Source organism: Homo sapiens, chromosome 16 (genome assembly GCF_000001405.40).
Source record: "Homo sapiens chromosome 16, GRCh38.p14 Primary Assembly".
NCBI lineage: Eukaryota > Metazoa > Chordata > Mammalia > Primates > Hominidae > Homo > Homo sapiens.
In genome coordinates this window covers 65,550,863-65,576,736 of record NC_000016.10, presented here as the reverse complement: position 1 = coordinate 65,576,736, position 25,874 = coordinate 65,550,863, and the positions used below count along the sequence as shown (strand labels likewise).

Here is a 25,874-nt window from a genome sequence, read left to right as displayed (position 1 = left end):
TTAGTTCTGTCTCACTCTGGGTTTCTCTTTCTCTTTTCATCCCTCATTGCCCATCTCTCTCTCTTCCCTTCCATTATCCTCTCCCTCTGTACCTCTCTCCCTCTGTTTCTCTGTTCCCTACCATTCTGGGCCTCTGTCTTGTTCCTTTATCCCTTCCTCACTCTCTCACTCCTGGTGCTGTATTTGTTTCTCCCCTACACTTGTCTCTCAGCTCCATCTGCTTTCTCTGGTTCTTTCTCCCTTGGACCTTGGTATGGTTTGGCTCTGTGTCTCCACCCAAAACTCATCTCAAGTTGTAATCCTCACGTGTCGAGGGAGGCACCTGGTGGGAGGTGATTTTAATATGGAAGTGGTTTCCGCCACGCTGTTCTCGTGATAGTGAATGAGTTCTCACGAGAACTGATGGTTTAAAAATGTGGCACTTCCCCTTCGATCCCTTGCTCGCTGCTGCTGCCACGTAAGAAGTGTGTTGCTTCCCCTTCGTCTTCCACCATGAATGTAAGTTTCCTGAGGCTTTCCCAGCCATGCGGAACAGTGAGTCAGTTAAACCTCCTTTCTTTATAAATTACCCAGTCTCAGGTGGTATCTTTATAGCAGTGTGAAAACAGATTAATACAGGCTGTTTCTCATCTGATTCCATCTCCTAGCGTCTGTGAAGTTCTCTATCTTTCTGTCTCTGTCAGGTCATGAGCATAATTTCCATCTTCACACATACCCCAAAAAAACCAGAGAAGGAGAGCAGGGAATGGGCTGGCTCTTCTCTTCTTCCAAAGCCTGAAAATCTGGCTTGAAGCGCTGGAGCTGGCCAAGCTTTGTGCTGACCAGTAGGCTGCCTTGCTTCTTGGCAGGAGAGTTGCTGGGAGGCCCCACCCAGCGCATGAGGATTAGACAACATCCATGAGGGATGCTGACTGCTAAGACGGACATACACTATTCTCAGATATGAGTTTTCAAACCTCTTGCAAACACATCCTTCCACCCCTCCTAGTGTCCCTCTCTGAGAAAGAAAAATTATTTTTCTCTGTGGCTTCACCTTCATTCTCTGCACTGCAGGGCTCTCTGGAGGGTTGGGTTCACTTCTGTTTTCTTCCCTCTTTCCAGATAACTTACAATAGACATGAATTGTCTTTGTAACAAGAATAAAAAATCATGAAATAAATTAAATGAACGTGTTGGGCTAGGCCATCTTTAGGACCCACCTTTTTGGCGCCCATGTGCTATGATAGCTCCTGACTTTGCCAACACAGAGACAAAAAAGAAACAGCATGCATGGGAAAATTTAGGTTTCTACAGGAAGGAAAGCAATTTTTTTTTTTTTAGATGGAGTCTCACTCTGTCGCCCAGGCTGGAGTGCAGTGGCGCGGTCTCGGCTCACTGCAGGCTCCGCCCCCGGGTTCACGCCATTCTCCTGCCTCAGCCTCCCGACTAACTGGGACTACAGGCGCCCGCCACCTTGCCCAGCTAATTTTTTGTATTTTTAGTAGAGACGGGGTTTCACCTTGTTAGCCAGGATGGTCTGGATCTCCTGACCTCGTGATCCGCCTGCCTCGGCCTCCCAAAGTGCTGGGATTATAGGCGTGAGCCACCGTGCCTGGCCAGGATAGCAATTCTATACAGAAAAGGCCTCTGCTGCTTTGAGGGTCTTTGGGCTTAGAAAGAAGAATCTAAGGTTTATGATCAATATTTTTGAAATATTTTAAAATGAGCACAGCCAATTAGCAGGTGATTGTCACCTGCCCAAGCAATCATTTGGCTGCTCTAAGCTTCTGTCCCAAGGAGCCAAAAAACTGGGACATCAGGGATGACAGAGCATTTACGTGGTCTAGCTGTGCCCAGAAAAATCACCTAAGTCCTGTGGATTTTGCAGGTGACATCAAGAATACCAAAGATCCTCTGTATACAAGAATCTTTACTTTTATTTCCTGAGTCATTTTAGGAAGACTGGGGCTATGTCTATGATATTTGCTGACATGACACTCTCTCTTATATCCTGTTCATAGCATCACAAAAACAAATGCTCAGTCTAATTCTATGTGTGTGCCTTGGCTGTATATTACATTATCCCGCAATTAGCACAATGATGGGTGATCAGGGCGAGCAGAATGATATTGCTGTGAGTGACCTATTATTATCCGCCGATTACACTTTACATGGAAATTAAATGAATTCTGTCAGAGCTCTGCAGCCAGGGAGAGAAGAAAATGCCTCATTGTTCGGCTCCCTGAGCTGGAGAGACTGCACGTGGCGATAAAGAGACCTGTGTTTGTGCAAAAACAAGGCGTGGGCTTCCAGTTTAAAAGATGCATTTGTTACACCAAAGCTCGAAATAGGAAATGCGTGTGGGCAGAAACAACGGAGATGAAAGGGGAGAAAACTAATTATTACTACCACCATTTGCGTATTGGGGTATTTATATAATGTGTTAAATTTCTTCTGTTGGGAAAATGTTTGTCATATCGGTGAGAATGAAACTTTACCCTTAGAGGGGGTATTCTTAGGCTTGAACACTTTTAGCTCAGTGAAATTTTTTTTTCCTTGAAATTATCTCCTGCATTCTTTTCTCTGCTCATCTTTCAATGGGCATCATCTTTAAAACATCATCTTTTCCACCTCTCTGTCTCTTTCATGATCTTGCATGTGCCTTTATTGTCTCAATAAGTGTCCCTTTAGATTTCTTTCTCAGGCATATTGCAGGTATCAATACTAAATAAAAAAGAGAGGCAAAATTCTACTGCCTTAGAGGCAGAGTGATTTGGGGAAAGGACATTACAACTGATAAATTTATAAAGAATCAGGAACTTAGAGTTCTTATCTTGGACATAGCTTCAACTAAATGCTCTGAAATGTGAAGACAATGGGAGTGACCTTGCCCTATTGGGAAGGGATTTGAGTTCTGGCCAATGATCCCAGTGATGTTTTCTCAATTGTAAAAAGAGATGGAGAGGTTTGAATTGCATCTCCCAGTGGTCTCTTGCAGTTCTGATATTCAGACATCAAATGATCAATATCTTGACTCACTCATCTAGTAAATATTTCTGAAAGAACTCACCATTAACAAGGCATTGTGCTGGGTAGAGGAGAAGATTAAATTTGGGGCTGATATATACAACTAGTTAGCTAAATCCTAAACAAAGCCTTTCTACCAAGCACCTAAGAAAACCCTTCCCATTTTTGAAGGGCCTTATTCTCAAGAGTATGAAGAGTGGCAACATCTCTTTATGCCCGTGGATCTTATGTCTAAATAGGCCTGTGATTGGGAACCCAAATTCTAGGCATTAGTGAGAGGGTTTAGTAACTAAGTACCAAGGCTGCAGCTTAGCCATATGAGATGTTGGAGAGTGGGCATAGGAGTCCTATATATATGTTTGAATAAAGACTAGTAAAAACCAGATTCCCAAGCTCATCTTTTTAGTCAAGTGGTGCCTCCGACACAGAGTTATTTGTTAATAGTGGTGGTGTTTTTTTTTTCCTGTTGGGATTTTCTAATATATCATGCAATGTGAAGAATATAACGAATGGATTTTGGAAAAAGAAGTATATGAAAACCATCCCCCATCCACTGTGAAAATGAAAGGCCATTTGGAGGTTTCAGCTTGTTAGAAAATTTGTGAAACACTGTACTGATGCTCAAGGAAGAAGAAAGTGGTGTTTTTCCAATTTCTGTGTGTCAGAATCACAGATTACTTCAGAAAATTGTGAAACTATTAAGATTCGGAGAACAACTGATTCAGTTGATCCTAGCTGGGGCCAGAAAATCTATGTGTTTGACAGACTCTCCAGGTGATCTTATAGGTGGTCTTTGGCCAGGCTGAGCAAAACACTGTTGCAAGCGTGAAGTGCTTAAACTCTGTCCATATTAGCTGAGTCATTTTATGTAAGGTTCTAAAGTATTTAAGCCTGAAATCTTATGGGAGAGAACGGCCATGAAGATTGGAAGTTAATCTATATAAAGCATCTACATCAGTCTCCATGTATACTTTGTGCTTAGTAATAATTACTCTTATTACCTCCACCCCAGTGAGAAGGTCAGGGCTGGCCCAGAGGATTCTGAGGTATAGATATCTCTCAATGACAGTTTCCAGGCTTAACATATCACTGCAGAAACCTATGGGATCTGGAGTCCCTGATCAAAACATTCACCCAAGTGGCCGAGGCATGAAACTGGAATAGGACTTCTTACTTAGAAAGGCTGAGAAAGAGGATCAGGACATACTGATAGGAGATGGTGTGGAGAAAGTGCAGAAGATAGACACTCTGGTGGCTTCTTATGAGTTCCCAGTGCATCTTGGGCAAGCCTGTGTCACTTAAAGTGGCCAGAAGAGGATGACATTATGTTATGTAGTGACTGCAAAGATTCCAGGAAACTCCACACAGGCTATCATGAACTCCAGAAGTATCTCACTTGTGAATCAGCCCTAGTATATGCGCTTTCATTTTTCAGTTGTTAGTCATACTTAATTGTTAGTTAATTTCCCAGAACATTTATAGAAAAGGAATCTTTATGCATTAAGTTTGAGTCAATAATTTGTTCCCAAATTAAAAATAATGGTAAAAGATCACATTCAACACTGAGTAACATTTATTTTTGTAACTAGCACATTCTGGAATTTACTAACTTAGGTATCAAGTTTGCAAATGGCATAAGTACATTTTTACATTAACTTCTAATTTCTAAAATTTCAAATTTCTAAATTTCTAAAATTTCAGATTTTAAATTTCTAAGATTTCAAAAACACGCTTTCCAGCTGTTTCTAGCTATCAGTTTGTAAATAGACATACCATTTACAATGAGATATTTCCTTATATTCTAGAACAGAATGGCAATTTTCGTGTGGTGTTAATTTCCGTGGAAGAAGAAAAGGCTCGACTCTCTGTCCTATTTTTCATGAATACTGGAAGTAGGGAATAAACCTGGAGTCTCACGGGTGAAAAGAGACATTTCCATATCACCAGACCACAAACGTGGGTGAGTCTGATTTACCTTCAGAATTTCGACCCATTCTTTTGTGTTTTTTGAACTGCTTTCTTTAATTATAATTTACATGCTATGCCTCTTTCCCGTATAAAGTGCACAAATGAATAGTTTTTAGAATACTTCTAGAACTGTGTTAAAATTACCACAATTTAATTTTGGATGTATTTGCCATTCAAAAAAGAAATCCGTTTTCTTTTTATGTCTTTGGGCAACCATTAATATACTTTTTGTCTGTAGAGTTACCTATTCTGGACATTGCATATAAGTTGAATCATATAATATTTGGTGTTTTCTGACTTAGACTTAATGTTTTCAACGTTCATTTAGGTTGTGGCATGTATCAGAACTTCATTTTGTTATATAGCTTTTATCATGAGTATACCACACTTATCCATTGATTTGTTGCTGAAATTTGGGTTGTTTCCATTTTTTTGGCTAGTATAAAAACTACTGGTAGTTTACACAGTGTTTACATTGTGTACAAGTCTTTATGTTGACATATGTTTTCATTCCTCTTAAGTACATTCCTAGAAGTGGTACTGTGGGATCATATGGTAACTCTGTTTAACAGTTTGAGGAAGATCTTTCTTTTTACGTGCCGTCGTTTTACATTACCACCAGCATTGCATGAGGATTCCAGTTTCTCTATATCTTTGCCAGCACTTGCTATTGTGTTTCTTTTTTATGATAACCATTCTACTGGGTATGAAGTGGGGTCTAATTGTGGTTTAATTTGCATTTTTCAGTGACTAATGATGTTGAGGATCTTTTCAAGTGCTTATTGACCATTTATATATCTTCTTTGGAGAAATGTGTATTTAATATTTTGCCTATTTTTAATTGTGTTATTGTCATTTATTATTTAATTGTAAGAGTTCTTTACATATTTTGGATATAGTTATATTTATCAAATATATGATTTGCAAATATTTTCTCTCATTCTGTATCTTTTTTTGATAATGTCCTTTGATGTACAAAAGTTTTTAATTTTGATGAAATCTTTATTGAAGAGACTCTTCTTGCCCCATTTTATTGTCTTGACATGTTTGTAGAAAATCAATCGATCATAGATATCAGGGTTTATTTCTGGACTCTCAATTCTGTTCCTTATATGGCTATCCTTATAGTAGATGTACTCTGTCTCAGTTCCTGTATATTTATAGTAAGTTTTGAAATTAGAAAGTCTGTGTGCCTGTAACTTTTTTTTTTCCTCAAGATTGTTTTGATTATTCTGGATCCTTTGAATCTTCATGTGAATTTTAGGATCAGCTTGCCAAGTTCTTCAGTGAAAAAAAAGCTCAAATTTTGGTAGAGATTCTATTGACCTTGTGGAACAATTTGAGGAGTATTGCCATCTGGACACTATCAAGCCTTTTGATTCATAGTCATGGGGTAATTCTCCATTTACTTAGATTTTTTTCCATTTCTATAATTTTTTTTAGTTTCAATGTATAAGTCTTATACTTACGTTAGATGTATTTTTAAGTATTTTATTTTTTGATGCCACTATAAGTGTAATTGTTTTTATTTCATTTTCAGATTTTTTATTGCTAGTGTACAGAAATACAAAAATATTAGTATATAGAAGTACAAAAAGTGGAAACAACACAAATGTTGAACAAAAAATCTTTTATATATTACTCATATCCTGTAGCCTTGCTAAACTCATTTATTAGTTCAAATAACTTTTTTTCTTTTAATTTGTGAACCCTCAGGATTTTCTATGTATAAGATAAGCTTATCTTCAAATAGAGATCATTTTACTTTTTTCTTTCTAATTCTGCTGCCTTTATTTCTTTTTTCTTATCTAATTGCCCTAGCTAGCACCTCCAATACAATGTTGAGTAGATGTAATTAGAATAGACATCCTTTTCTTCTTTTTGATCTTAGGGGAAAGCACTCTGTCTTTCACCATTAAGTGTGATGTTAGCTGTGAGCTTTTTGTAGGTATTCTACATCAGATGGAGGAAGTTATCTACTATTCCTAGTGTGTTGAATGTGGTTTTTTGTCGTTGTTGTTGTTGTTGGTCATGAGTGTTAGATTTTGTCAAATCCTTTTTCTGGATCTACTGAGGTGAACATATGGTTTTTGTCCTGCATTCCATTAATAAGCTGAATTGCATTAACTGAGTTTTCAGATGTTAAACCAAACTTGCATTTTTGTGAGAAATCCCACTTGGTCATGCTGTAAAATTTTGTGTCTGCGTATGTTACTAGCTTTGGTTTGCTGGTATTTGTTTAAGATTTTGCATTTATATTCATAAGAGATATTAGTCTACAATTTTTCTATGTTTTATTCGGTTTTAGTAACAAGGTAATACTGGCCTCATAGGATGAGTTATAAAACATTCCCTCCCATCCAATTTTTTGAAGAGTGGGTCAAGGTTGATATGAACTCTTTGAGTGTTTGGTAAAATTTGTTAGTGAAACTGTCTGAGTCTGGGGAAATGTTGGGTCAAATTATTAGGCTCCTACATCAAAAAATAACCTGAAGAATTAACTAGAATTAGTTAGAGGTACACCCTTTAATTTGCTGAGATATCCATCAGGTACTGTTAAATCAGCAAAGCAATATGCAGACAACTGTACTGTATCAATGCCTTCTGGAGACAATTATATAATGTTAATATGTCTATATGCCTTCATGTAAGTCTCTATGTGGGTGTGTTATCATCTATTCACTTTTATTCCAAATATATTAATATAAAGTAATATTCAAAAATATGATCACATATATATCATCCCTCATTGGAGACTCTTTTAATTGTTTAATTGCATTTTTATTGGTACATAATAATTATGCATATTTACAAGGTACATGTGATATTTTGATACACAGGTACAATATATAGTGAGAAAATCAGGATAATTAGAATATCCATCTCCTTCCTCAAACACTTATTATTTCTATGGAATAGATCCAGGATCAGTATTGCTGGGTTGAAGAGTATGTGTATTTCTAGGCTTAATACATTTTGCTAGGTTGTTCATAAGAGAAATTAACAATTCTGATTTCTACAAGTAATATGCGAGAGTACCCATTTTCTTGTATCCCTGCGAAAAAATGGCTTTTAAAAAATTTTTAAATTTAAATTTTTATTTTTTTAAAGAGAGAGAGTTTCACTGTGTCACCTAGGCCAAAGTGCCCTGGCACGATCATAGTTCACTGTAACCTTTAACTCTTAGGCTCAAGGACTCCTTTAGCCTCAGCCTCCCAAGTAGCTAGGACTGCAGGTGCATGTCACCACACAGGTTTTTATTTTTTTATTTTTTGAGATGGAGTCTTACTCTGTTGCCCATGCTGGAGTGCAGTGATGTGATCTCAGCTCATTGCAACCTCCACCTCCTGGGTTCAAGCAATTCTTGTGCCTTAGCCCCTCAAGTAGCTGGGATTACAGGCACCCACCACTACACCTGGCTAATTTTTATATTTTTAGTAGAGACGGGGTTTTCCCATGTTCACCAGGCTGGTCTCAAACTCCTGACCTCAAGTCATCTGCCCACCTCAGCCTCCCAGAGTGCTGGGATTACAGGCATGAGCTACTGCACCCAGCTTATTTTTTTATTTTTAATATTTTGGAGAGATAAGGTCTTGCTATGTTGCCCATGCTAGTTTCAAACTCCTGGCCTCAAGCAGTCCTCCTGCCTTGACCTCCCAAAGTACTGGGATTTCAGGTGTGAGCCACTGTGCCTGGCTAACAATGGCTGGTTTTAAATTTTAAAAAATTACCATAGGTGTAAATTATTATTTCACTATTATTTTGCATGCCTCTGGTTCTGAATGTGGGTATATATAAATGTTTGTGAGCCCTTTTGATTTGTTCTCCTGTGTGTTATTCATAACTTTGCTCATTTTTCCATTGGGGCCTCTTTTTTCTCATTATGTCAGTTTACTTTAAGTATTATAATATAAGCCCAGTGTCATCTGCATTGCAAAGTCATTAAGTCATTTGGGAAATATTATTTTTATATTAACATTCGGTATACTATATTGTGCTGTAAAATATTTTACCTGAACAAATGTGTTTACATTTTATTTCAACATTTCTCAGTTCTCAGGTTTGATCAAGACATGTTCCCTGCAGGACCCTATATTTTGTGTGTGTATTCCTGTATATATATGTTTTTACATTGAAGATGTGAGTGTATTTATAAGTATTTTGTATATAGTCTTAAACATTTATTTCTTTTCTTCCAGATGGATAGCCAGTTGTGCCAAAACTATTTTGAATTAATCTATTTTTTTCCCCAATGAATTGAAATAAGCCTTTGCCACTTTTGCAGTTGCTCACATATGTTTGTCTTTAGTATATCACTGGTTCAATTAGTCAACATTTGATTTGATATTTGTGCTTATATTCTCATAAGTGAAAGTGCTCTGCATTTTTATACTATCTTCATCAGATATTGGTATTTTGCTGGCTGCATATAAAACTAGCTAGTTTTCCATTTTTTCTATGGCCTGAACTAGCTTATATAACATTTGAATCATCCATTTTGTAAATGTCACATGAATGAAAGTTAACTTTGACCTATCTGTTTTGTTGCCTTTTTTAATGATAAATTTTAAGTTACCTTTCCAAATTACCTAAGCTGATATAGCGATAACTATTCTATTTTTATCTTCCTGGGTTAATTTTGGTAATTTATATTTTTCTTGGAAGTCATTCATCTCCTTTAAGTTTTCAAATCAATTCCATAAAGTTGTATATATGATTCCCTTAATTCTTTAGTCTTCTTTCTGCCTATAGTGTATCTTTTTTCTTATAATCTTGACTCTCTCTCTCCTCTCTCTACCTCTTCCCTCTAAAACTCCTAATTTGTCTATTTTATTGGTCTTTTCAAGGAAATAATTCTTGGATTTCATTGTCATTGCTACCTTCAAAATTTTATTAACTGTAGACTTTATTAAGTTCTCTTTTCTTTTGTTTTATTTTGTTCCATTATTTTCTAATTAATTTATTTATTTTATTTTATTTTATTTTTTGAGGCAGAGTCTCACTTTGTTGCCCAGGCTGGAGTGCAATGGCACGATCGTGGCTCACTGCAACCTCTGCCTCCTGGGTTCAAGTGATTCTCCCACCTCAGCCTCCCAAGTGGCTGGGATTACAGGCACCTGCCATCATATCCAGCTAATTTTTGTATTTTTGTAGAAACATGGTTTCACCATGCTGGCCAGGCTGATCTTGAACTCTTGACCTCAGGTGATCCACCCGCCTTGGCCTCCCAAAGTGCTGGGATTACAGGCATGAGCCACTGTGCCCGGCCTATTTTCTCATTTATTAAGGTGAATATTACTTTTCTTAATTTTTCCTTGTCCCATAATTCTGAAATCAATACATTTTTAATCTCTGTATTAATTTGCTGGCCATAAGTTTTCCTCTGAATTCAGCTGTCAGTTAAGTTCCATCGGTTTTGCTATGTGAGTGTTTACCTATTCATTGCTTCCTGGGTTTATAATTCAGTTATTTAAGAATATGTTTCCTGATTTTCAAGTAATTTTGACTTTTGCTTTTTCTTTGTAATGATTCTAACTTATTGCATTATGACTAGGGAGTGTGACCTATATAATTTCTTTGCTTTACATTTTATTAAATTTTTTGAGGTCATGCACAAAATTTGATACATTGTTGGTGGTGATAAACTGGCATAGTGATGGGAGAACAATTTGTCAATATCGAATATTGCTGTATATGTACATATTTTATGACACAGCTATTCTACTTACAGATATATGTGAAAGTGATACATAGATATGTATACGTGCATGAGAGTGTTTACAAGTGTATATAAACATGTATGTACATATATGTATGTGTATACATACATATATATGTATTTGTAAAATTGCAATTTCAAAAAAATCGGAATCAGTCTAATTAACCTACAGGTAAGTGGTCTTACTTATAATGGGATTGAGTAAATAGACTGTGGGCAACTCACACAGTGGATTGCTATGCAACAATTAAAATGAATTAGTATGTGTATCAACATAGATAAATCTCTGTAATGTGAAGTACAAACAGTAAGGTGTAAAATGGTATGCACAGCATGAAAGCATTTATTTACATTTTAAATGTTCAAAACAATCCTACATATTATTTGTGGAGACATCCATATGTACACAAATGGAAAAACTCTCACAAAAAGTTTCATATCCACTTCCAGGTATTAGGTCATCTCTGGGGAGGGATAGAGAAGCAAAGGAATATTGTGGTAGGGTTTTAGCCATACTGTGCTGTTTATTCCTTAAAAGAAAATTGAAGCAAATGAGCAAAACAATAACATCTGTTTAATCTGGGAGGAACATACCCAGGTATCTGCTTATTGCCGGCTCCCTCTTTTGCTTTATTAGCCAGAAAAGTTATTTGGCTTGTTCTCCACTGTTTCCTCCATGTGAATCCAAGAGATGTGGGTAATACTCAGAGTTAAATGATAAGTTCAGAAACAAAGTTGGAGTCAAGTCACACCAGATCCAACTGAAAGACATGTCTCTTTTTTAGCCTAGAAAATAAAAATCTTGACAAGACAAGGATCACTCTCTTTAAGTAATTCCAGGTATTTTTCCTTATGAAAGGAGGTAGACTTCTATGTGACTAGGGGGCAAATGTAGAAATAGTGGCTTGGAACTGGGAAGATGCAGATTCTAGTCTAAGTCATGGCAGATCAACCCAACAGCCAGAGTGGTCTAGAATTGCAATAGAGGGTTCCAGGAGAAAATGATCCCCTTGTCAGATGTTTGAACAATGACAAAAGTACTATTTTTAAGGCATGTTTAGTAAGGATTCCAGTGATAGCATTAATGGATGTTAATGGATATCATTTATTAAGGCCTTACTATTATATGTTTAAAACATTTTATATTTATTAATTTACTCAACTTCCATGATGACACTATATGGCTGTGACTGTTTGAAACTGTTATGATGCTTACAAAGCACCTGCCACACATTATCTGGCACCTAATTATCTCTCAGGGAATTAGGTAGCTAATCGTTTGATTAATATTAACTGCTTTGTTAGGTTCCCATTTCTTGCAAAAAATGTTGGTAGTCAACTGAAAGGTTATTGCCCATAGAACAGACACACAGTCATAACACATTTCTACTCACAGTCTTTTATTTAATACAGATCACTCCTGCAAGAGACAGAGGTAGAATAAAGCACTCCCATGTTTATTGCAGCACTACTCACAATAGCAAAGAGAAAGAATCAACCTGAGTGTCCATCAGTGGATGCATGGATTAAAAAATGTGGTATATACACAAAATGGAATGCCATATGGCTATAAAAAAGAATGAAATCCTTTGTAAAGACACATGCACACGTATGTTTATTGTAGCAGTATTTACAATACCAAAGACTTGGAAACAACCCAAATGCCCATCAGTGATAGACTGGATAAAGAAAATATGGCACATATATACTGTGGAATACTATGCAGCCATAAAATAGAATGAGTTCATGACCTTTGCAGGGTTATGGATGAAGCTGGAAGCCATCATTCTCAGCAAACTAACACAGGAACAGAAAACCAAACACCAAATGTTCTCACTCATCAGTGGGAGTTGAACAATGAGAACAAATGGACACAGGGAGGGGAATATCACACAACGGGGCCTGCCGGGGGGTGGAGGGCAAGAAAAGTGAGAGCATTAGGACAAATACCTAATTCATGAGGGGCTTAAAATCTAGATGATTGGTTGATAGGTGCAGCAAACCACCATGGCTCATGTATACCTACGTTAACAAACCTGCACATTCTGCACATGTATCCGAGAACTTAAAGTGAAATTAAAAAAAAAAAAAAAAGAATGAAATCAAGTCATTTGTAGCAGCATGAAGGGAACTGGAGGTCATTATCTTAAGTGAAATAAGCCAGGCATGCCCGTATAAAAATATTGCATGTTCTCATTTATGTGTAGGAGCTACAAACCCTAATCACATGGAGGTAGAGAGTAGAAAGGTAGATAAAATAGAGTGGAAAGGGTGATGAGGGTGAGGAGGGAGGATGAAGAGAAGTGGGTTAAAGGGCACAAACACTGTATACAGTAAGATAGAAGGAATAAATTCAATGTTTGATAGCAGAGTAGAATGATTATACTTAACAAAAATGTATTACACTTGGGTGAAGAACACTCTGAATACCCTGATTTGATTACTACGCATTTTAGATGTGTAACAAAATTTCACATGTGCCCTATACATTTGTACAAATAAAGGAAAAAAATAAAACTGAGAGGCTGAGCGTGGAGGCTCACACCTGTAATCACAGCACTTTGGGAGGCTGGGGTGGGGGGCGGGGGGATAAACTGAGGTCAGGAGTTCGAGACCAGCCTAGCCAATGTGGTGAAACCCCTTCTCTACTAAAAATACAAAAATTAGCCAGGCATGGTGGCAGGCACCTGTAATCCAAGCTACTCGGGAGGCTTAGGCAGGAGAATCACTTGAGCCTGGGAGGCAGAGGTTGCAGTGAGCCGAGATCACACCATTGCGCTCCAGCCTGGGCAACAAGAGCAAAACTCTGTCTCAAAAAATAAAATAAAATAAAATAAAACTGAGAATGGAATGCAAGTGATTGGACTAAGATCACACATCAAGTGAATGGTAAAGGAAAATTTGGATGTTGGAGAAAGGGCCCCAAACTTAGAAACATGTAAGCTTGAACTAGAAGTATCTCATCTTTTACCAGGGGCTTTGTGTCCCAGAGATAGCATCTTGGTGTCTTGAGCTTGTGTCTACCTATCCTAGGTCCTCTTTGTCTCCAAATTGTAGGATTCTTAGTTCCCATGTAGGGTTCATGTGGGTGAGTTCTCAGAAAGTAGGTGACCCAAACATGTACAACGGAGATAGGAGTTCATTCCTTAACTGGAACCTTGTTCAAAGGGCATTCCATTGTGTTAACCCTCAGACCTGTTTGCAGATTGTATCCCGTGTGGCTGCCTCTTCATAATGATAGACATGAGGAGCTTTTCAAATCCGGGGAATGATCTGGGTAGATAATGTCAGCTGATTATGAATTTCTGGTGTGTGGCCCACAGCTATTGGTAATGAATCAGGCTGCTACACAAGGGGACTTTTGATCAAGGCACAGTTCTACATAATGAAAAGTAAAGTAGTGCAGATTAATGGTGTCAGACTTTTAATGGACCTGGGGAAATGGCTGGGTGATGGATCCTTTTTCCCAAGAGCAGCTCAGTCTTCTGCCTCTTGGACTTACATCAAGGGGAGCCCAAGGGAAGCCACTGAAAGGTCATTGAGTCTCTCTTTGACAGGTGGTGGCACAAGAGTTTCCTAGTTGTTCTCATCTCCTTTTTGTTGCTGACCTTTTCCCCATTGAATGTGACACTCAGAGCAAGAGACATGGAAAACTCTCCAGGGTCAGGGATATCGGAAGCACCATCATTAAATAACTTATAAAGGGAATGTATTATCATTAGATAGTGTTGGACTTTGCTTAAGACTTATGAATGGTGGCCCATCTTTGTGTTAGGGTGGCAGTAGCACACCTGACCTGTCCTCTACCTGAGCTTTGTTGCCTTAGCCAAACCTAGACAAGAAAGACTAGTCAGTATTTATACACATAGATCACTTGTAAATAGTAGGTCAGGGCCAAGGTCAAGGCATTCCATGAAGTTTAGGCTATTGCTATTAATACCCGATAGTATTTACTGAGCATCTATAGGATGCCTATCAGACGCACATATTTTGCATTTATCATTCTCGTTAATAATCTCCTTATAATGTAGGTATTAGTATTCCCATTTTATGGATGATGACCTTGAAGCTCTGGGAGTTTAGCTGCATCTCTTGGAATGACATAGCTAGCAATAGTAGCAGTAGTAAAAATATAACTGCCGACATTTATGTAGCTCTCGCTATGAGCCGTGCATGTTTCTAAGAGCTTTTTATGTATGAATTTGTTTGAGGATCACAATAATGCAACAAGTTTGGGTATTGTATTTTCACATTTTACAAATAAAGAAGTTGAGGAACAGTAAGGTTATGTGACTTGTCCAGATTCACAGAGTTAGTAAGGAACAGAGGTATGATTTGAACCACTATGCTTTAGATGCCAGCATTAAAATGCCAACTTACTGTGAGAATGGGACTTTCCTCTGTCCTCACTACTTCCTCGCCTACCCTCACCTCTGCCTTTGAATCACTTAAGGTTGCACTTTCATAAAGATCTCTTTAAATGTCATGGACCCTTAAACTGAGTTAGGTCTCTTTCTGCTGTATGTTTGCACATTTTCCTCTTCTTCCTCTATTTTAACACTCTTCACACTTTCTTATGATTACTTGCATGACATATTGTCTTCCCTTATAGATATTAAGCTACAGAAAGGCAGATGCTGGTGCTGGCTGGGCCTTCTTTGCTTAACATTATGTTCTCAAGGTCTATTATGGTGTCCACATAAATAAAGTTAAATTTCTGATTGTTTGTTACCATATTTCACAAACACTGTTGGATGAAATACTGGCCATTTGGAAGGCATAGCCTAAGATAAAATATAAACTATTTGCCAAAGCCAAAATTCCTACTGGGTGGCTCCAGGGGACACCATAAAAAATAGACGACTACAGTCTAGAGTTGAAGGCAGATCCAACAAGAGCCCTGTGCCAGCCACGTGGAGGAGAAAAAGCTCTTCATACTACGTGCTATGAAAACAGCAAACAAACTGAGATTCCAAATACAAGCTCTAAATCAAAAGACTGTATACCTTGACTTGCCATCAAATTTACTCATCTTGGCAACTTCATAAAGCATGCTTGGTGGGAAGTAGAAAGTATGATGTATTATTCATGATAGTTACTGGGTTTTCAAAACTAAGTAATGAAACGAACATTTGCTGATTAAGGAATGCATGCATGATTGAATAAATGAATGAGTATAACAATCAGGTTTGCTTCATGTTTACCTGAGTGAACACCAATGTTTTTCTGCTATGACATGATGCCTCTATTTTCAATGACCCTTTATGTGGGTATACTGTCTATAGGACAACTCTGTGACCTATGGAGGGTGAACATTATTATCTGCATTTTACAAAGAGGGAAGGGCAGTTCACAGAGGTGAAGAGTTTTTTTTTTAAATAATGCATTATTTTTGTTGTTGCTGCAGTTGTGTTTCTTGTTATAATCATTATTATTATCTCACATATACCTTTTTTTTTTTTTTTGAGACAGTCTCACACACTCTGTCACCCAGGCTGGAGTGCAGTGGTGTGATCTCAGCTCACTGGAACCTCTGCCTCTCAGGTTCAAGAGACTCTCCTGCCTTAGCTTCCCCAGTAGCTTGGATTACAGGCACCCACCACCACTCCCAGCTAATTTTTGTAATTTTAGTACAGATGGGATTTCACCATGTTAGCCAGGCTGGTCTTGAACTCCTGACCTCAAGTGATCTGCCCACCTCGGCCTCCCAACGTGCTGGGATTACAGGTGTGAGCCTCTGAGCCCAGCCTCACATATACCTTTGAGCATCTGGTATAAGGACCCAGAGGCCAGGACCTGCTAAAGAAGTGCAAGCTGGATTAGAGAAATAAGCGGGGAGCTCAGTTACTGAGTCTAGGAACCCACATTGAGAGCAACTCTAGAATGTCCTAAGATCTTCAGTGCTGACCTAATTTTTGCCTTGCATCCTTCTGTGACAGGTTTTCCCACTCACACTATCCATGACACTTTATGATGTTTATAAACCCAATGTCAGTCCCACTGCTCATAACTTGCCTTTGATATAAAAAAAAATGTTTCATTAGACATGGCTTTGTTTATTCAAACTTTATTCCTCCTTTACATCTTTTTAATGACTTTTAAGCTCAGTCTATTAATCTTCTTACCCGAGTTAAGCCTTTTTCTCAATATGTTCTTTTAAAGATATTTCCAAACGCTGAAGCTTACATTCTTTGCCCTATGTGGGCTTTTATGGGGACAATAATTAGCTGGAAAGCCTTGTCAGAAATACGGAAGAATGTGTTCCCGTATTAGGTGGGATTGTGGACTGAAAGCCTTCTAGAATATTGTCCACATTGAATGTTGCTGTATCAAACAATTCAATTCAATTCACTTTGGAAACAGCATTGAGTTTCTCTTTGCATCGGCCGCGATGTGAGCCCAGGGAATAAGGTGTATGGGAGTTACTACAATGTAGAGGGCACAGTAATAGAGTAGAACTACAAATAGATGGGCACCATGGTAAAAGTTTGCATAAAGAATTTTGGGGGACTGGGTGTGGAGGCTCATGCCTGTAATCCCAGCACTGTGGGAGGCCGAGGCTGGTAGATACTTGAGCCCAGGAGTTTGAGACCAGCCTGGGCAACATGGTGAAGCTCCATCTCTACAAACAACAACAACAACAACAACAAAATAGCTGGGTGTGGTGGCACATAAATGTAGTCCCAGATACCTAGAGGTTGAAGTGGGAGCATCACTGGAGCCTATGAGATCAAGGCTTCAGTGAATGGAGTTCACACCACTGCACTGTAGCCTGGGTGAGAGAAAGACCCTGTCACCCTGTCACACACACAAAAAACGAGTCATGGTGGTAGATGTTCCAACAGGGGAGATGTTGGTAAAACTCTCAGAATATAAATAAATGTTGAATTAAGCATGTAATAGATTGAGAAGAAGGAGAACAGCATTTAAGACCAAGGGGAACAGCAAGAGAGAAAAAATGGAGATGAATGAAATTGTACGTGTGTTGGGTTAGGATAACTCTTTCCCTTCTGCCGGTGTTCTGGCTTCTTTCATTTTCTTTAATCCAGCATGTTCCTTCTGAACATTGGGTCTTCTTAAACACCCTTCCCACTGCCTACAAAGTGTCCTCAACCCAACACTGCTCACTTGCCTGGCTGCTACTGATTCCTTTAATTCTCAGCTCAAGTGTCATGTTCTCAAGTTGACCTGTCCTGGTACACTAGACTCCAGTTATTTTATGTATGCTCCTAATATAGTCTTAAAGCCCTCTTTGTTAACTTTCATCAAACTCAAAGTACTTTCTTAATTCTTGCCTTCCTCAATAAAGTATAAACCCATGAGGGCTGCGACTATATTTGTGTTATTCTCTGTGTGTTCTCAGGATCTTCCTCAAGATCTGATGCCTGGTTACCACCCCTCTGTGTATACCTTCGTGCAATGGTGGGCTGGGGCGTTTAGGGCATGGTAGGAAGTGGTGAGAAAAGAGGAAGGAAAATTGGCAGAGGGGGATAAAATTATAGAGGGCTTTGAACAATGTCTCACTTAAACAGGCTTCTGGGCACCTTTGCTGTGAAAGACCAAACTAAATGTAAAAGAAACACAAACACAGCAGCTTTTCTTCAAGTTTTGAAGAATAAAAGATGTGTAGTTGAAAATCATGCACACACTGACAGTTATTTCTTTTTTAAAAATAGTCTCCTAAGAAGTAGTGGTGGTAGAAAGTGGTGTTATATAAATGGCAGCCTCTTAATATTCCTGAGAGCATGGAACAATTTATCAATGTGAATACCCCAATTGCAGAAAGGAAAAGTATTTTAAACACTCGGGTTTTATTTATGTCTATGGTATCTGCAAGTGGACATAGTTGTATGGATGAAAATATCTGGTCATTCACACCTGAGGGATGTAGGACCCTGGCTGTGGTGGGTTGGTTGGTACATTCATTCACGGAATGGATGTTCATGGAGCACTTATTTACTCAATGTCGTGCCAAGCATTACACAAGACAGTCCTTGACTTTACAGAAGTCACCATCCAACAGAGGAGAAAGACATTAAGTAAATAATTAAACCAGCAATTTACTTGCCGCAGTGGCAAGGAATGCTAAAAGGAAAGGTGCAGGTTTGAGGGGAGCCTTGAGGACAGGTCATGTCCATCAGAAGACATATGAGGAATTTCATGCATTGGCAACCTCAGAGGTAAGTTAGATTCTGGCCCTACTTAGGTCTTAAGGCACTGAAATATGCCATGTCACTGAGGCCTGTGTATGAATATTTACTGTGGTGCTGGCATAATTGCATGACCCTCTCAATCTGAAGTGTTACTACCAGCACCCAACAACTCCAGTGCTTTTGGTTTTTATTCTCATCCTGTCAAGAGTGATTCTTATTAAAGGTCTAGTGGGGTCACTCACTTCAATTTTTTAGCTATGTTTTACTGAATTCTGTGGGGGTAGATGACATTCTCTTGGGGGCATTCATGAAAAAGAAGATGAATTTTTAAAGGAAATACCCTTTACCTGAGTGAAGACCTTACACCATAAACTTCCACCTCTGTCTTTACAAATATAACTGCTTCTTAGGCAAGTAGAGAAAGCAGGGCCTGAATACACTAACTAGAGGGCTGGAAAAGCCCAGTATGAATGTTTACTCCTAACCCAAGGGGGTAGTCTTCCTCTTAGGTGAGCTGACATTAAGGCCAAAATGGGTGTAAAAGAATATGAGACAGTGGCATATTATTTTTTAGAATAAGATATTTTAAACTCCTTGACTTTTTTATTTTTATTTTTTAAATATTATTATTATACTTTAAGTTTTAGGGTACATGTGCACAATGTGCAGGTTAGTTACATATGTATACAGGTGCCATGCTGGTGTGATGCACCCATTAACTCATCACTTAGCATTAGGTATATCTCCTAAAGCTATCCCTCCCCCCTCTCCCGACCCCACAACAGTCCCCAGAGTGTGATGTTCCCCTTCCTGTGTCCATGTGTTCTCATTGTTCAATTCCCACCTATAAGTGAGAATATGCGGTGTTTGGTTTTTTGTTCTTGTGATAGTTTACTGAGATTGATGATTTCCAATTTCATCCATGTCCCTACAAAGGACATGAACTCATCATTTTTTATGGCTGCATAGTATTCCATGGTGTATATGTGCCACATTTTCTTAATCCAGTCTATCATTGTTGGACATTTGGCTTGGTTCCAAGTCTTTGCTATTGTGAATAGTGCCGCAATAAACATACGTGTGCATGTGTCTTTACAGCAGCATGATTTATAGTCCTTTGGGTATATACCCAGTAATGGGATGGCTGGGTCAAATGGTATTTCTAGTTCTAGATCCCTGAGGAATCGCCACACTGACTTCCACAATGCTTGAACTAGTTTACAGTCCCACCAACAGTGTAAAAGTGTTCTATTTCTCCACATCCTCTCCAGCACCTGTTGTTTCCTGACTTTTTAATGATTGCCATTCTAACTGGTGTGAGATGGTATCTCATTGTGGTTTTGATTTGCATTTCTCTGATGGCCAGTGATGGTGAGCATTTTTTCATGTGTTTTTTGGCTGCATAAATGTCTTCTTTTGAGAAGTGTCTGTTCATGTCCTTTGCCCACTTTTTGATGGGGTTGTTTGTTTTTTTCTTGTAAATTTGTTTGAGTTCATTGTAGATTCTGGATATTAGCCCTTTGTCAGATGAGTAGATTGCAAAAATTTTCTCCCATTTTGTAGGTTGCCTGTTCACTCTGATGGTAGTTTCTTTTGCTGTGCAGAAGCTCTTGAGTTGAATTAGATCCCATTTGTCAATTTTGGCTTTGCTTGCCATTGCTTTTGGTGTTTTAGACATGAAGTCCTTGCCCATGCCTATGTCCTGAATGGTAATGCCTAGGTTTTCTTCTAGGGTTTTAATGGTTTTAGGTCTAACGTTTAAGTCTTTAATCCATCTTGAATTAATTTTAGTATAAGGTGTAAGGAAGGGATCCAGTTTCAGCTTTCTACATATGGCTAGCCAGTTTTCCCAGCACCATTTATTAAATAGGGAATCCTTTCCCCATTGCTTGTTTTTCTCAGGTTTGTCAAAGATCAGATAGTTGTAGATATGCGGCGTTATTTCTGAGGGCTCTGTTCTGTTCCATTGATCTATATCTCTGTTTTGGTACCAGTACCATGCTGTTTTGGTTACTGTAGCCTTGTAGTATAGTTTGAAGTCAGGTAGTGTGATGCCTCCAGCTTTGTTCTTTTGGCTTAGGAGTGACTTGGCAATGCGGGCTCTTTTTTGGTTCCATATGAACTTGAAAGTAGTTTTTTCCAATTCTGTGAAGAAAGTCATTGGTAGCTTGATGGGGATGGCATTGAATCTATAAATTACCTTGGGCAGTATGGCCATTTTCAAGATATTGATTCTTCCTACCCATGAGCATGGAATGTTCTTCCATTTGTTTGTATCCTCTTTTATTTCATTGAGCAGTGGTTTGTAGTTCTCCTTGAAGAGGTCCTTCACATCCCTTGTAAGTTGGATTCCTAGGTATTTTATTCTCTTTGAAGCAATTGTGAATGGGAGTTCACTCATGATTTGGCTTTCTGTTTGTCTGTTGTTGGTGTATAAGAATGCTTGTGATTTTTGTACATTGATTTTGTATCCTGAGGCTTTGCTGAAGTTGCTTATCAGCTTAAGGAGATTTTGGGCTGAGACAATGGGGTTTTCTAGATATACAATCATGTCATCTGCAAACAGGGACAATTTGACTTCCTCTTTTCCTAATTGAATACCCTTTATTTCCTTCTCCTGCCTAATTGCCCTGGCCAGAACTTCCAACACTATGTTGAATAGGAGTGGTGAGAGAGGGCATCCCTGTCTTGTGCCAGTTTTCAAAGGGAATGCTTCCAGTTTTTGCCCATTCAGTATGAAATTGGTTGTGGGTTTGTCATAGACAGCTCTTATTATTTTGAGATACGTCCCATCAATACCTAATTTATTGAGAGTTTTTAGCATGAAGGGTTGTTGAATTTTGTCAAAGGCCTTTTCTGCATCTATTGAGATAATCATGTGGTTTTTGTCTTTGGTTCTGTTTATATGCTGGATTATATTTGATTTGCGTATATTGAACCAGCCTTGCATCCCAGGGAGGAAGCCCACTTGATCATGGTGGATAAGCTTTTTGATGTGCTGCTGGATTCGGTTTGGCAGTATTTTATTGAGGATTTTTGCATCAATGTTCATCAAGGAAGGATATTGGTCTAAAATTTTCTTTTTTGGTTGTGTCTCTGCCCGGCTTTGGTATCAGGATGATGCTGGCCTCATAAAATGAGTTAGGGAGGATTCCCTCTTTTTCTATTGATTGGAATAGTTTCAGAAGGAATGGTACCAGTTCCTCCTTGTACCTCTGGTAGAATTCGGCTGTGAATCCATCTGGTCCTGGACTCTTTTTGGTTGGTAAGCTATTAATTATTGCCTCAATTTCAGAGCCTTTTATTGGTCTATTCAGAGATTCAACTTCTTCCTGGTTTAGTCTTGGGAGGGTGTATGTGTTGAGGAATTTATCCATTTCTTCTAGATTTTCTATTTTATTTGCATAGAGGTGTTGGTCGTATTCTCTGATGGTAGTTTGTATTTCTGTGGGATCGGTGGTGATATCCCCTTTATCATTTTTTATTGCGTCTATTTGATTCTTTTTTCTTCTTTATTAGTCTTGCTAGCGGTCTATCAATTTTGTGGATCCTTTCAAAAAACCAGCTCCTAGATTCATTAATTTTTTGAAGGTTTTTTTGTGTCTCTATTTCCTTCAGTTCTGCTCTGATTTTAGTTATTTCTTGCCTTCTGCTAGCTTTTGAATGTGTTTGCTCTTGCTTTTCTAGTTCTTTTAATTGTGATGTTAGGTTGTCAATTTTGGATCTTTCCTGCTTTCTCTTGTGGGCAGTTAGTGCTATAAATTTCCCTCTACACACTGCTTTGAATGTGTCCCAGAGATTCTGGTATGTTGTGTCTTTGTTCTCGTTGGTTTCAAAGAACATCTTTATTTCTGCCTTGATTTCGTTATGTACCCAGTAGTCACTCAGGAGCAGGTTGTTCAGTTTCCATGTAGTTGAGTAGTTTTGAGTGAGTTTCTTAATCCTGAGTTCTAATTTGATTGCACTGTGGTCTGAGAGACAGCTTGTTATAATTTCTGATCTTTTACATTTGCTGAGGAGAGCTTTACTTCCAACTATGTGGTCAATTTTGGAATAGGTGTGGTGTGGTGCTGAAAAAAAATGTATATTCTGTTGATTTGGGGTGGAGAGTTCTGTAGATGTCTATTAGGTCTGCTTGGTGCAGAGCTGAGTTCAATTCCTGGGTATCCTTGTTGACTTTCTGTCTCATTGATCTGTCTAATGTTGACAGCGGGGTGTTAAAGTCTCCCATTGTTATTATGTGGGAGTCTAAGTCTCTTTGTAGGTCACTCAGGACTTGCTTTATGAATCTGGGTGCTCCTGTATTGGGTGCATATATATTTAGGATAGTTAGCTATTCTTGTTGAATTGATCCCTTTACCATTATGTAATGGCCTTCTTTGTCTCTTTTGATCTTTGTTGGTTTAAAGTCTGTTTTATCAGATACTAGGATTGCAACCCCTGCCTTTTTTTGTTTTCCATTTGCTCGGTAGATCTTCCTCCATCCTTTTATTTTGAGCCTATGTGTGTGTCTGCACGTGAAATGGGTTTCCTGAATACAGCACACTGATGGGTCTTGACTCTTTATCCAATTTGCCAGTCTGTGCCTTTTAATTGGAGAATTTAGTCCATTTACATTTAAAGTTAATATTGTTATGTGTGAATTTGATCCTGTCATTATGATGTTAGCTGGTTATTTTGCTCATTAGTTGATGCAGTTTCTTCCTAGCCTCGACGGTCTTTACAATTTGGTATGTTTTTGCAGTGGGTGGTACCGGTTGTTCCTTGCCATGTTTAATGCTTCCTTCAGGAGCTCTTTTAGGGCAGGCCTGGTGGTGGCAAAATCTCTCAGCATTTGCTTGTCTGTAAAGTATTTTATTTCTCCTTCACTTATGAAGCTTAGTTTGGCTGGATATGAAATTCTGGGTTGAAAATTCTTTTCTTTAAGAATGTTGAATATTGGTCCCCACTGTCTTCTGGCTTGTAGAGTTTCTGCCGAGAGATCCACTGTTAGTCTGATGGGCGTCCCTTTGTGGGTAACCCGACCTTTCTCTCTGGCTGCCCTTAACATTTTTTCCTTCATTTCCACTTTGGTGAATCTGACAATTATGTGTCTTGGAGTTGCTCTTCTCGAGGAGTATCTTTGTGGCGTTCTCTGTATTTCCTCAATCTGAACGTTGGCCTGCCTTGCTAGATTAGGGAAGTTCTCCTGGATAATATCCTGAAGAGTGTTTTCCAACTTGGTTCCATTCTCCCCATCACTTTCAGGTACACCAATCAGACGTAGATTTGGGCTTTTCACATAGTCCCATATTTCTTGGAGGCTTTGTTCCTTTCTTTTTATTCTTTTTTCTCTAAACTTCCCTTCTCACTTCATTTCATTCATTTCATCTTCCATCACTGATACCCTTTCTTCCAGTTGATTGCTTCGGCTCCTGAGGCTTCTGCATTCTTCACGTAGTTCTCAAGCCTTGGCTTTTAGCTCCATCAGCTCCTTTAAGCACTTCTCTATATTGGTTATTCTAGTTATACATTTGTCTACATTTTTTTCAAAGTTTTAAACTTCTTTGCTTTTGGTTTGAATTTCCTCCTGTAGCTCGGAGTAGTTTGATCATCTGAAGCCTTCTTCTCTCAACTTGTCAAAGTCATTCTCCATCCAGCTTTGTTCCGTTGCTGGTGAGGAGCTGCGTTCCTTTGGAGGAGGAGAGGCGCTCTGCTTTTTAGAGTTTCCAGTTTTTCTGCTCTGTTTTTTCCCCATCTTTGTGGTTTTATCTACTTTTGGTCTTTGATGATGGTGATGTACAGATGGGTTTTAGGTGTGGATGTCCTTTCTGTTTGTTAGTTTTCCTTCTAACAGACAGGACCCTCAGCTGCAGGTCTGTTGGAGTTTGCTAGAGGTCCACTCCAGACCCTGTTTGCCTGGGTACCAGCAGCAGTGGCTGCAGAACAGCGGATTTTCGTGAACTGTGAATGCTGCTGTGTGATCGTTCCTCTGGAAGGTTTGTCTCAGAGGAGTACCCAGCCGTGTGAGGTGTCAGTCTGCCCCTACTTGGGGGTGCCTCCCAGTTAGGCTGCTCGGGGGTCAGGGGTCAGGGACCCACTTGAGGAAGCAGTCTGCCCCTTCTCAGATCTCCAGCTGCGTGCTGGGAGAACCACTGCTCTCTTCAAAGCTGTCAAACAGGGACATTTAAGTCTGCAGAGGTTACTGCTGTCTTTTTGTTTGTCTGTGCCCTGCCCCCAGAGGTGGAGCCTACAGAGGCAGGCAGGCCTCCTTGAGCTGTGGTGGGCTCCACCCAGTTCGAGCTTCCCGGCTGCTTTGTTTACCTAAGCAAGCCTGGGCAATGGCGGGCGCCCCTTCCCCAGCCTTGCTGCCGCCTTGCAGTTTGATCTCAGACTGCTGTGCTAGCAGTCAGCGAGACTGCGTGGGCATAGGACCCTCTGAGCCAGGTGCGGGATATAATCTCCTGGTGTGCCGTTTTTTAAGCTCGTCAGAAAAGCGCAGTATTGGGGTGGGAGTGACCCGATTTTCCAGGTGCCGTCTGTCACCCCTTTCTTTGACTAGGAAAGGGAACTCCCTGACTCCTTGCGCTTCCTGAGGCAATGCCTCGTCCTTCTTCCGCTTGCGTAGGGTGTGCTGCACCCACTGTCCTGCGCCTACTGTCTGGCACTCCCTGGTGAGAAGAACCCGGTACCTCAGATGGAAATGCAGAAATCACCCGTCTTCTGCATCGCTCACTCTGGGAGCTGTAGACTGGAGCTGTTCCTATTCGGCCATCTTGGCTCCAGCGACTTTTTTTTTTGAATTTATGTCTCCCTAAAATGTTTTTCCCTTTTGTTATCTCTTGGTTTAAAATAAGAAGGAACATAAAAACCCACAATTGGGGGAAGGAGGGCAGTGGAGGGAGGGAGTGCATCAGGAAAAATCGCTATATATGTATTTGTTATCTCATATGTTTTGTTTTGCTTTTTAATTTTTTTTTTGAAACACGGTCATGAGACTAAATAATTTTTGTAATTTTGGTGGAGATGAGGATTTGCCATGTTGCCCA

At 39.1% G+C, this 25,874-nt stretch overlaps 1 long non-coding RNA gene across 2 annotated transcripts in view; it reads left to right on the top strand.

Moving 5' to 3' along the window:
• The first annotated feature begins 439 nt into the window (after positions 1-439).
• Positions 440-25,874, top strand: part of LINC00922 (long intergenic non-protein coding RNA 922) — a 291,796-nt gene continuing 266,361 nt past the window's right edge. For both annotated transcript variants that reach the window (NR_027755.2, NR_174971.1), the window contains exons 1-2: positions 440-498; positions 4,812-4,966. This is a non-coding gene — a long non-coding RNA (long intergenic non-protein coding RNA 922). The remainder of the gene's footprint in view (positions 499-4,811; positions 4,967-25,874) is intronic.